Source organism: Homo sapiens, chromosome 8 (assembly GCF_000001405.40).
Source record: "Homo sapiens chromosome 8, GRCh38.p14 Primary Assembly".
NCBI lineage: Eukaryota > Metazoa > Chordata > Mammalia > Primates > Hominidae > Homo > Homo sapiens.
This window is the reverse complement of record NC_000008.11, coordinates 29,229,362-29,242,790: the sequence shown is the minus strand read 5'-3', so window position 1 is coordinate 29,242,790 and position 13,429 is coordinate 29,229,362. Positions and strand designations below refer to the sequence as shown.

At 38.4% G+C, this 13,429-nt stretch overlaps 1 protein-coding gene across 8 annotated transcripts in view, besides 2 other annotated features; it reads left to right on the top strand.

Moving 5' to 3' along the window:
• KIF13B (kinesin family member 13B) overlaps positions 1 to 13,429 on the top strand; it is a 196,111-nt gene that overhangs the window by 20,598 nt on the left and 162,084 nt on the right. The window lies entirely within an intron of this gene.
• Positions 12,444 to 12,603: an enhancer, noted in NCBI's record as "active region_27183". NCBI's record gives its function as "activates an Ori minimal core promoter by ATAC-STARR-seq in GM12878 lymphoblastoid cells {active_cell/tissue: GM12878}" and the evidence as "EXISTENCE:reporter gene assay evidence [ECO:0000049][PMID:35858748]".
• Positions 13,280 to 13,329: an enhancer, noted in NCBI's record as "active region_27182". NCBI's record gives its function as "activates an Ori minimal core promoter by ATAC-STARR-seq in GM12878 lymphoblastoid cells {active_cell/tissue: GM12878}" and the evidence as "EXISTENCE:reporter gene assay evidence [ECO:0000049][PMID:35858748]".

Here is a 13,429-nt window from a genome sequence, read left to right as displayed (position 1 = left end):
TCAAAACATTGCTGTGAACATAGGATAAGAACGAAAGGACGTTTTTGGCAAATATGGAAAAGATAAATGACGAACTCTTCCTATTCCACACCACTGCTCGGAGCACTCTCCTGACTGAAATACTTGAATCCACCAGATCAGTCTAGTTCTTCTGTGTATTATCCTGGATACACATGGATACATTTTATCACTTATTTGCTCATGCAGAGCTGCACTTCTTATACTACTAGAACAATTAATATCTTTTTGGAATTATCTTCTTCCCCTCAATTAGTTTTCTAGATCGGTTCTTGGGATTTTCCAAATCTTTGTCAGCAGTATATTTCTAAATTGCTTCCCTTTAAATGACTAAATCTTTAGGCCTTATTTTATTTGAATTATATCTTAAAACTTATTAAACTTTTATCCTGTAGTAAATTTTCGTTGTTGTTGTTTGGAAGCCATGGTGAGATTGTAATAAAACATTAATGCCTGTCACCATGGTAGGCAAAGTAGTTTCTTTTTTGTTTGTTTGGGGTTTTTTGTTGTTGTTGTTGTTTGTTTTTGAGATAGGGTCTCCCTCTGTTGCCCAGGCTGGAGTGTGGTGGCACGATACAAATAGTTTCTTAAGCTAAGTTTTATCTTCTATTTTTGCTTCTTTCTCTCCTCTACCCACCAAACAGGCCTTTCTTGCTAACTCTGGCTAAAAAGTTAATTGGTATACTTAAAACATTGCCTTAAAAGGGATTAAGGTGCATTTTCCCATGGAGAGTGGGAGCCTCCACTGTATGAATCATTTGTGTTATAAAAGTTGAGGCATAGGTGAGTTTGGAAAATGGAGTGCATTTTCCCATAGGAACTGTCAGTTTCAAGTGGAAAGTTTAAGCTAGTGACTAGTTTAATCCACAACTCGAACATACTTTTTTTCTTTTTTGCCTCATATCTTTTTTAAAAAAAATATTTTGTCTCAATCTTCGCATTTCACTGCAATAATATTAAATAGCTGTGTACTCAAGGGCCGAGACTGAATAAAATGAATAATCATTCTTTCTGCTTTATGGAGGACATTCTTATGTGGAAAAGGCTTTTTTTTTTTTTTTTTTTTCCCTCCCTTGCTGCGGGTGCGTGGTGATGAAAAGCACAGAGACTGCTTCGCTGTGATGTCTTTGTGCCCAGGGCACCAGCAGTTTCCCCTCCATCATGTTCGTGCCACCAGCACAAATGTCAACACAGTGAGAAAGGCAGATGCCTTAGTATTGTTATGAAAATAATCCCAACCTCCAGACTCTCTGAAAAGCTCTGGGGAATCCCCCAAGAGTCCTCAGACCCCAATTTGAGGGGTTTAATCCAGTTTATAAGCTTCTAAGAACCAAATAGATGTCCCTGGTTTATTTTTTAAAAGATTTATTGAGATATAATAGTAAGACAATACAATCCACCCCTTTAAAGTGAACCATTCAGTGGTTTTTATTACACTTACTGAATTGTGCAACCTGCACCACTATCTGCTTGTACATCATTTTTATCACCATGTTAATTAATCCACTTTCTGTCTCTGTAGATGTGAGATTTGCCTGTTCTGGACATTTCCTATAAATGAAATCATACATGATGTGGTCTTCTGTGATTGGCTTCTTAGCATCAGGTTCTTGAGGTTTATCCACTTCGTAGCATTTATCAATACTTCATTCCTTTTTATGATGAAATAATAGTCTGTTGTATCACATTTTGTTTATCCATTCATCAGTTGATGGGCATTTGGATTGTTTCTACTCTTTTGGCTTCATGGATAATGCAGTTTGTGTACAAGTCTTTGTGTGGACGTCCGTTTTCATTTCTCTTAGATTCATTTCTAGTTATGGAACGCTTCTGGGTCATATGATAACTGTATTCTGAACATTTTGAGGAATTGCCAAACTGGTTTCCAAAGCTGCCGCACCGTTTTACATTCCCACCAGCAATGCGTGAGAGTTCCAGTTTTTAAAAACTCTCATCTACTGTAAAGAAAATGGAGGTAACTCTGGCTAATTAAAGAGTGCATATCCTGCCTCAAGGCATTCAGATTACAATGAAAAAGCAAAACCAAACATAGTGCTGTCCAAGCCAAACACTCCTGGCCAGATTCAGCCCTTGGCTACTGATTTAGAACCCCGCGTTCTGGTAAACTAGATTCTGGTATACTTCTCTATTGAGCAGTACTTACTTATTTTAAAACAAGGTTTTGAAAAATTTGAGCAAAATTAAAAAACATAATATACAAAAAGTTCTAAAGAATGAAACACTTTTATGTACCTATCAGTTTAACAAATCCTTTCCAATGCAGTTTAAACCTATGTGAACTGCCTTCTGTTCACATAGGAACCCTTTCTCTCTCCACCACAGTTAACCACTTTCTTGAATTTGATCTTCTTCTTTCCCTTGTATTTCTTCACATTTTCACTTTATGGAGGACATTCTTACGTGAAAGCGGCTTTTTTTTTTTTTCCCTGCTGCGGGTGCATGGTGATGAAGCGTACAATGACTGCTGCTTTTTTTAAGCATATCTGTAAGTTGTTTGCCCAGTATTATGTGTACATGAATGCCTTTTTCTAGTGAAAGGCCAGAAGGGTGACTCGAAAAAGTTTCACTATTCTTATAAAATATAATGCATGATTTTTAAAGACCAAAAAAAAAATGTTAAAAGGAGCTGAAAATAATATCACCCACTTAGCTTGGGGGAGAAAGCTCAAACTTGGTATTTTATCAAATTTCCTGTTCTTTCTTTTTTTTTTTTTCCTCTTTTGTGTTTCTTTTTTTTTTCTTTTAGATTCCAGGGGTACACATACAGGTTTGTTACAAGGGTGTATTGCGGCCAGGCGCAGTGGCTCATGCCTGTAATCCCAGCAGTTTGAGAGGCCAAGGCACGCAGATCACTTGAGGTCAGGAGTTCGAAACCAGCCTGGCCCACATGGTGAAACCCCGTCTCTACTAAAAATACAAAAATTAGCCAGGCATGGTGGCGGGCACCTGTAATGCCAGCTACTCAAGAGGCTGAGGCACGAGAATTGCTTGAACCTGGAAGGCGGAGGTTGCAGTTAGCCAAGATCGTGCCACCGCACTCCAACTTGGGCGATAGAGTAAGACTTAGTCTCAAAACAAAACAAGCAAACAAACAAAAAAAACAAGGGTATATTGTGTAATGTTGAGGTTTGGGCTTTTGTTGATCCTGCCATCCAGACAGTGAACATAGTACCCACTGGGAGTTCTTCAGCTCTTGCCTCCTCCTCCTTCCGTTCCCCCTTTTGGAGTCCCCAGTGTCTCTTGTTCCCATCTTTGTGTCCATGTGTACCCAATGTTTAACTCCCACTTACAAGTGAGAACATACAATGTTAGGTTTTCTGTTTCTCTTTTGTCCTTTTAAACAAAATCAGAACATAGGCTTTCCCCTCTTGTCTTATTTGCAATGAATTTCAAGGAAGTGTGCAGTGAAAATTGTCGTAGTATACTTCCAGCTCTTTTAGAGACGGAAACAGGGAGCTATACCTCCTCAGAGGTGCTGCTTTAAACATCAGAACCAAAACCTGACAGGAAAGAACACCTCCGTGTAAGTTGCACTTTTCAGTTCCTTGGTCAAGTGTGAGTCCATTTTCTTCCTTAGCCCTCTGTCTTCTATTACGTGTGTATGGTTTGGGGGGCTGGGCGGGTATGCACATTAACACAGTGCTAAAGACATCAGCCTAGAGTTTATCCTGTCTTTCTTTCTTTTCTGTTTTGTTTTGTATGTTTGTTTGTTTTGAGACAGGGTCTCATTCTGTTGCCCAGGCTGGCGTATAGTGGTGTGATCACTGCTCACTGCAGCCTCCACCTCCCAGGCTCAAGTGATCCTCCCATCTCAGCCTCCTGAGTAGCTGGGACTACAGGCATGTACCACCATGCCTGGCTAATTTTCATTCTTTTTTTGTCCTCTCCACCCCTAAGTGTAAGGTTTTGAGACCAGAACGTTTGGAGGTTGAAAGCATTTGGAGGTTTGGGTGTCAAGATCTTCATTAACCTGAACACTGATTTTTTTGGTGTTCTGTGAGTTGACTTATTCTTTAGAACAGGTGGGGAAGATGCTCTAACATGGATGAAAGTAGCCACAGATGGCACAAATAGGCAGAGACTGTTCTTGTTTTACAGTAAAATATGATGCTGCCCTCTCCATCCCCCATGTGTCATGTTTAACCTAATGAACAATAGACAGCGTAAAGGTTACAGCTGCCAGTCTAATGGGAAGACTGAGATGTTGATCACATCATCTTTTTTAGTAAGGCCATTAAAAATCTTTTTGTTCCTTCTGATAGTTTTACTAGACATCAATTTAGTCAGTATCATTAGGTAATTAATGAGTACCTAATATGAACAAAACACACCCAACCCTTCTTTGGAGCTTCAGTGTACTCTGACCCTGGTGGATGTACAGATTGGAGCCCTTAAAGTATGTGCAGAATTGAGTGAGTTTGACCCATGTCCATACACTTCTCTTGCAAATTATATTGCATAATGCTACTGAGGGGAGGGCCTTATGGCATACATGAAGTCATTTTCAGACTAATTCCTTGTTAGTGGAAGGCATCATTAGGTCATATTAGATAATGACTTTTTAGATTTCTCTACTGCTATATGGATGCTAATTTAAATAGCGATTTTAATTGAAGGAAGTCATGCAAAATGTAATTATGGTACCCACAATAGACCTGTTTGTTCTCTCTGCTGTGAAATGACTTGAGTGGGGCTAATATTTCTCCTCAAATAGAGTCTGCTCCTCTGGAGAACAGTACGTGGTATGTTTTAATTTCATAATGGGGCTCTTCCTCAGGGAGCCCGTCCTGCTAATTTTATTAGAGTACAGTGGGGAGAGCGTGGTTCTGTGTACTCAGAAGTTGTATATGATTCCTCAGCCTCTCCCTTTAAAAAGAATACTGTGATCATTTACTACTTTTGAATATACTTGTGAAGATGAATCAGGGAGACTCTTAAAAGCTAAAAAGATAAGAAAATATGTGTGGTTGAATGCATATCATTGCATAATTAATGGAAGCAGGTAGTCAAATTGCAGCAAATACAAATTTTGCAAAGTTTTACCAGCAGAGTCTAGCTGGTTGCCAAAATAAACTGGTAGCCAATAGACTGCTACTATAGAATTTGATATTTTAGCATTATCATTGAATATAAATATTATTTTGCTCATGCTTTTACTACTTTTGGTGCAGCAATAAGAAGGAATAAACTTTTTAAAAAATACAAGAAAAGAGTCTTTCTTTAGCTCTGTGCTTGAATTACTACCTGGATACTAACATTTGATATGTGGACTCAGGGTTTGTGTATATGGTTAGTTGCCAGCTCTAGATTAAGTTAGTTATGGATAATAGGAATTACGTGTTTTGAATTTCCCTAGAATTCTGGACTCAGCATAAAGTGGTCAGATTGCATATAATATATTAAATAAAATATCTAATTATGAACACAGTTTAGGCAACTACCAGGTCCTACTATTGCATTTTTTTTTTGGCTTATTTTGCTTAGTTTTTTTGACAGTACTTTTTTAGCGCTCTTTGTCTCAATCTGTAGGATAGAAATTGTTACTAATATAAATCAGATGCTGTATAAGAATCTAGATTTCTGTTTTAAAGATGGAGGGAGCAGTATTCCTTGAGGAAATGTGACATGAGAAACCCATTCAGCCACAAAAGTTGTTGTATCATAACATGTTTATAATTTTTTCTGATGCATTCAATATTCGAACATCAACAGTGTGCCAAGTATCAAGCTGAGAGTTAGGTTAATCTTTACCAATCCTTAGTTCCATTAAATTTATGGTGTTATTAATTTTTTTACATGATGTATCTATAAGCATACTAGTAAAAAAAAGCAAAACAAAAAACTGGAAAGCAGAAAAAGTTATTCTGTTGTGCATCTTGTTAGATTTTGCACACTCAAATTTGAAATGATTTGATTGTTTAATTTTGAGAATTGTACATTTTCTTGTGAGAAAGTTTTCTTTTACAAAGAAAAGCGTTTAGAACTCTGGAGTCCTCAAACTTCTTCCACAGAGTTCTTTTAAAAAGCACAGGTATTTTATAGATGGTAAATTTCACCTTTGCTTTACTTCTATCAAACGTAATTTATATATACTTTTAATTAAGTAAAAACTTATATAGGATGGGTCATAATTATTAAGAGTAGTGACTATCTTTATGTTTTGACCTGTATATACAAGTCAGTAATCCTTTTGTTCCACTTTTAGGAAAATTGAAATAGAATTTATGTAAAGATCATCGAATATGTAAAAGTTTTATTTGCAATTTAATTTTTAAAAACTTTTGTTATGGAGAATTTAAAAGATATGCCAATTTAGGCAGAATAGTATAATAGTATAATGAACCTCCATGCTCTTGTCACTCACCCCTGAAAACCATTAATTTGTGGCTGATACTGTCCTAGCTACATCTTCATCCCTGTCTTCTTCCCCATATTATTTTGAAGGAGATCTGATTTTACCCACAGATGTTTTAATGTATCTTTTATTATTTGTAAACATAACCTCAATACCATTTATCATATCTAAACAATTTAAAATAGGTGTGAGGAGGAGGAAAAAAATATAGTGAGGTGGTGGCATCAAATTTTCAGTGTTTAAATGCCCAATTATCTCATCAAGTCTTTTTTTCCCCGAAGTTTGTTTTGAATAGGATTGAGATGTGGTCTGCACTTTGAGGTTGGGTGGTATGGTTTTTAATTTATTGGCTCCTCAGTTGTTGAAGAAGCCGGATCATTTGTTCTGTCCTGTGGATGAATTAATAAGTGAATTTATTACAGGAACTAGGTTATCCTTATTTAGTCAAACACCAAACCTTGTTTATTTTCCTTGTAAATATTTTCATTCTAGCATTCCTTTTCATTCTTCTGACATTACCCTAGGGAAGGACCTCATTGCCTTGTGTTTAGATGACAACGTAGCTTTCTAACCAGTTTCTGGAACTCACCGTCACCAGACCGATCTTCAAGCCTGCTCCTGCTTCCTGTAATCTCTTTCAAATCTAGAGCATTTATGATTTCTACTCATTGAGAAATGCCACTACGTAGGTGGCATCTTTTATATGTTTATCCCACATTGTTTTCTAATATTTGTACTGCTTTGCTTTTATCTATGTATTTTGAAAACTCCCTTCCCTTCAGGCTGTGGCTGCTAGAAAGTGGGGGCCACTGTGGCTTCTTCCTGGGTCTTTGGTGGTCTGCACTAGATGCCTCTTGATTGATTGCAGTGGTTCTGTTAGTGCTCGTTCTCAAAGGCCTCCTGCTCTGATGTTACCCTCAAATAGTAGTTTGAAGGGTGATTTGCAAGTCTGGAGTTGGAATTTCTGAAGGGTACTTCTCAAGACAACAGAACCTGATGAGCTATCTTCTTCCACCCCACTCTGTGGAGTTCAGTATTCTAGCAATGGCTGTCCTTGTCCACTAGATAGATAGATTATCTTGCTTGGACGGTGCAGATGGACGACATTTGCATTACTGTAACCTTTCTAGACTCCCAAAGCACCACAGCCTTTGTTTTGCTTTTGTCACTTTGACGACAATCTTTTGTGTCAATGCTGTTTCATTGGTTGTATTTTATTTTTATTTTTTAAGCCATTATAGAGCTAGGTTATATTTTAAGTTTGATGTTTCTTTGTGATCTAATATTAGGATTATACGGTAGAATAAATTTCCATTGGGAAGAATTTCCTGAAGATTAAACAATTCTGTTTATAATGTGTAGATTAGAGATTGCATACTCAGGCACCATAGTCCATATTTTACCCAGAGATATGTTTTGTTTGGCCTGAAGTTGGAACATTTAAAAATCAGGTTTTGTATAAAGATTCAGATTCATTGTGTTTCTTAAATAATCTGAATCTGGCAACACTGGGTTTTCTGCCCTCTTCCGGCTCCCAGCTGTTCCATTCCGTCATTTTTATGATTTGCCAGGCCCCTGTAGGCCTTTTCCTTTTCAACCTTGGTGTAGATTCTTACTGGCTTCAGTCACAAAAGATGTCCTTTCCTGACCTTGGCCCTGGGTTTTGAAGCTCACATTACTTTTTCTTTCCTCTAGTTTTTTTTTTTTTTTTCCTTTGGTGGTAAAATGCTCACAAGAAAATTAATCATTTAACCATTTTTATGTGTATACAGTTCAGTGGTGTTAAATACATTCATAATGTTGTGTAACCATAGCACTATTCATCTTCAGAACTCTTCTTAAAAACTGGAACTCTGTGCTCATTACATACGAGATCCCCATTCCTCCCACCCCTAGGCCTGGGCAACCACCATTTTACTGTATATATGATTTTGACTACTCTAGGGACCTCATGTAAATGGAATCATACAGTATTTATTTTTTGTGTCTGGCTTATTTCACTTAGCATGTCCTCGAGGTTCATCCATGTTATAGCACATGTTAGAATTTCCTTCCTTTTTAAGGTCGAGTAATACTTCATTGTATGGATAAACCACATTTTGCCCATCCATTCATCGGCCGACGGACACTTGGGTTGCTTCTACCTTTTTCCTCTTGTGAGTAATGCTGCTGTGAACATGGGTGTGCAAGTACCTCTTCAAGACCCTGCTTTCAGTTATTTTGGGTATAGACCCAGGAGTGGAATTGTTGGACCTCACATTACTTTTCAAGACCATCAATCTCTGCACTCTGAATCTGTCATGTTCTCAGTTTTTTCTTTAGCTTATTAAGAAGTGTAGCCATGTGAATTCCCTAATTGTTGACATGACTTTGTTTATAAATTACCAAATATTCTTGATGTAGTGTTCAAATTAATACATTATTTTGCAAAAATGTAAAGTGCTAACTCTTAACTGTCTATTTTTCTTTAAAAATGTTTATATTAACATATAATGACTCTTGTTTTTAAATGAATTAAAATACACACACACACATGTACTTCAGAGACAAAGTCTCACTCTGTCACCTACACTGGAGTGCAGTGATGTGATCATAGCTCATTATAGTCTTGAACTCCTGGGCTCAAGCAGTCCTCCTACCTTGGCCTCCCAGAGTTCTAGGACTGTAGGTGTGAGCCACTGTGCCTGGCTCTAAAATATTTTTAAAATTTCTCAGCTTCTAATTCAAAAAATATCTATCAGCTATAACCCATATAAACAAAAGCTGTTATTGCCCTCACTAATATTTAAGAGTGTAAAGGGGTTTTGATACCAAAAAATTTGAGAATCTCTGATCTAGATAATGTGCTAGCACAGGTTAATTAAAATTGTTTGAGGTACTCACCGCAATTTTAGAACATTATAACATTTTTCCCCATATAAGCAATGTCACGTAAATGTGTAAGTCATCCCTGGGTTGCTACAGATGCTTATTTACCTGTGGTATTTCTGAAGTGCCTACCATTATTAACTAAAACATTTTGAGCAAGTAGTTCTATAAGTTCAGCGTTCCAGCTTAGAATGCCAAGAAATGTAACTATTCCCTCTCCTTTTGGGGTTAGGGTGGCAAGGATTCCCTGGTTCTAAACCTCTCTGATTGTTCTCTTGCTATTGATAGGGTTTGTGGATAAACAGTGGGAACAGGATTTGAAGAACCAAGATGGAATTTTGGTGTCATATGGGATTTTTTAGAAAGCTTTTTTCAGATGGAGTCTCACTCTGTCACCCGGGCTAGAGTGCAGTGGCATGATCTCTGCTCACTGCAACCTCCACCTCTCGGGTTCAAGTGATTCTCCTGCCTCAGCCTCCTGAGTAGCAGGGATCAAAGGCACATGCCACCATGCTCGGCTAATTTTTGTATTTTTAGTAGAGATAGGGTTTTGTCAGGTTGGCCAGGCTGGTCTCGAACTCCTGACCTCAAGTTATCCACCCCCTTGGCCTCCGAAAGTGCTGGGATTACAGGCGTGAGCCACCACCCCCAGCTGAAAGCTTTCAAATGAGTTTCAGGTGCTGGAGGGGTGAGAGAGTGGGCAGTGGTATGGGTGCTATGGAGTCTCTGTGTCTACCAGGATATTAAGAGGACAGAAGAGGCAGAAACAAGTATCTATGATGGATCCTGGAAAAAGCAAGAAGCCTTTGACAAATCACTGTTGTGCTTACCGTGAACAAGTTGGAATTATTTAATTTTGAATTTGTCAGAAAGTTTACAGTAATGTAATAAATTTAAAAATATTCCTAAGTAAAAAAAAGAAAACTGTAAAATTTCTAATGTCAGCAGAATGTGGTCACTGTGAGGGAGAAAAGGATGGCAAGACTAACTTTATTTTTGTTTTTACTTGGAAGTATAAATTCAAATTTCGGGATCTCTGAGTTTTTATGTAGCTGGAATCTTTCTTTATAAGTATATATATATATATTTATTTTTTAATTTTTTTTATTTTTTATTGTTTTAGAGACAGGGTCTTGCTGTGGTTGCCCAGGCTGGTCTTGAACTCCTGGCCTCAAGTGATCCTCCCATCTTGGTTTCCCAAAGTGCCAAGCCTATATATATTTTATTTTTAAATTTTTATTTATTTTTAATTAATTAATTTATTTTTAGTCAGAGTCTCACTCTGTTGCCCAGGCTGGAGTGGAATGTAGTAGTGCAATCATGGCTTACTGCAGCCTCAACCTTTCCAGGTTCAAGGGATCCTCCCACCTCAGCCACCCAAGTAGCTGGGACTACAGGTGTGCACCACCATACCCTGCTAATTTTTGTGTGTTTTTTGTAGAGATGGGGCTTCACCATGTTGCCCAGGCTAGTCTCACACTCCTGGGCTCACGTGATTAGCTTTCCTCAGCCTCCCAAGTGTTGAGATTGTAGGCATGACCAGCTGCACCCAGATATTTCTAATTTCTTTTAAATTATTTTTTCATGATCCAGGGACAGACTGGAATATGTAGCTGGAATCTTACAGGTTCTTTATAATTCTTAAAAAAAAATTTGGAAGTGGAATTTGTAATGCATAAGAAGTTTTGATTGGAGTTCTTTGTTTTGTTTACATATACACATATATGTACATTTCCATTAAAGCAAGCCTTTTTCCTTTTTTTTTTAGAGGATATAAACAGCTACAAAATTACTGTGTTTTAAAAAATAAATTTTACCTGTGAAATGCAAACTGTCATAAGAATCGGTACATGGTAACTGCTGTTCTTATCATTGCTCTTTATTATTTTGTTAATTACATATTCCTTTCCAGAGAAGATTGGCTGACTTGGTGTTTTAGTCACATGTAAGGAGCACGGAAGCTTCCTTGCTCAATTTCATTCTCATCCAGTGTTACCACAACAGAAACCTGTGTGTAACCAAAACGCTTGGCCTGTTCAGTGATTACCCCTCCTTAGTCACTCGGCCAGTCATGGCCACACTTGCCACCTGCCCTCTTCTTTGGGGGATTGGGTATAATATGACACAGTGGGAGGAGCCAGACGTTTCATACACATTTGGTATGATTTCGTGTTAGTCATTTTAATATAGTTATATAAGTAGTATAGGAAAACCCTACTGTGGGAAAATCCCTTCTCTGAATGTAAGATTTATCAGGCCGAACCCGTATGGTAGCCTTCATCTATTTACATCATGAAGGATGCTTAAAAGTAGGATGGGGGACAGAGACTGGTTAAGAGTAAGTCACACGTCCGGGCGTGGTGGTTCATGCCTGCAGTCCCAGCACTTTGGGAGGCTGAGGCAGGCAAATCACTTGAGCCCAGGAGTTCAAGAACAGCCTTGGCAACATGGTGAAACCCTGTCTCTACAAAAATAAAAAAATCACCTGGGCATGGTGGTGCATGCCTGTAGTCCCAGCTACTTGGGAGGCTGAGACAAGAGGATCACCTGAGTCTGGGGAGGTTGAGGCTGCAGTGAGCCGTGATGGTGTGATTGCACTACTGCAGCCTGAGTGACAATGTGAGACCCTGTCTCAAAAACAAAAACAAAAAACAAAATATTAGGTCACACTCTGGCATTGGACCAAGACTTTATGCCTTGCCATTTCCAGAAGCTTTACTTAGGGTTTCAGATTCTGCTTTCATCATTCTGCCCCATATCAGACCCCTTGCAGGTGCTGATTCAGGTCTTCTTGGCCTCACCTCTCCTTGGAGCCTTTGATCACTTTTCAACCCTGGCTGTTGCCAGCTCAGTCTGGGCTCACGCCAGCTTCACGTGCTCATAATCTGACACTTCCTCATGCTCACTCCCTTCCCTCCTTGCCTGGGATACACTCCCACAGAAGCCTTGGTCTTTGCTTTCTGAGGAATCCACACTAAGACGTCCTCTCGCATGCCCTTGTCTGTGTCCTCAGGGATTCTCTTGCTGTGTGTTGAGCTGGCTGTCCGTTGACCTGGCCTTTTTGGGCCTGTCTGGTCCCTTTGCCCCCCAGAACTTGGTATGGATAGTAAGGAACTGAACTTAAATATTAGGAAGAGGATAGGCCAATTTATAGATTGGGTTAATTTTTAAATTGATCAACCCCGTAAGCAGTAGCAAAGCTGCAGAACAGAGGTGCTGCGAGGGAGTTTAATGATTACCACTGTGTCTGGGGATGGGAAAGGCAAGAGTTGGTTGAAGAGAAGCATGACTCAGACTTGGGTGTGAGTGCTGGGCCTACTGTTTACCAGCTGTGTAAATCTGGAAGTTTATATCACCTCCCTGAGCCTCTGTTTCCTTTTCTATGAAGTGGAGGTGATAACACTGTGATATGGATCATGCAAGATTACCGTGGGCATGAGTGAGTTATTTATGTAAAATGTCTGGTACATGGTACCTACTTAGTAGGTGGTAGCTGCTATTTTGCCTTGATTTATTTATTCTTGTCAACTCTCTTAAACAAATTTTATTTATTAAAACATCATATTTTAAGTAATATTCTTTTCAAATAACACTGGCATATATGGTAGGTACTCAATAAATATTAACTGGGTTAGACATGTAGTCAATTATAATACCAGGTTTCTAATAACAAATGATGCCCTTTTGCTTTTAATTGACAATAATCATAGCTGTTTAAGCTGTAGATCTAAGTGTAGTTTCTTGATGCCCCAGATAGCAACTGTAAGATGTTTATTTAAGGGATTGTGGGTTTCCTCTGAAGAGCATCAATTTGCATAATATTGCTCAGAGTTGGTTTCTTGAACTATCATTATCATAAGAAAAGGAACTCCGTGGTCAAGGTCTTTGAATGCTTAGAAGGTGTCAGTAATGCAGACACAGCCAGCACAGCATTCTTGGAAATACAAGAAGTGAATAGAGACTTTAGTTTGTGGATCTTCTCATTGATGACAACCAGCATTTATTTATAGGCATTAGTATTGTTTATATTGTGTTAGATCCTTTGCAAGAGTATAAGTTCTCATGACATCTTACAACAAACGATATAGGCATCACATTGTTATCTCAACATTTTCAGAAGGGAAATGAGACTCAAAGGTGTTACAAGGCTTCCCAGGGTCACATGAT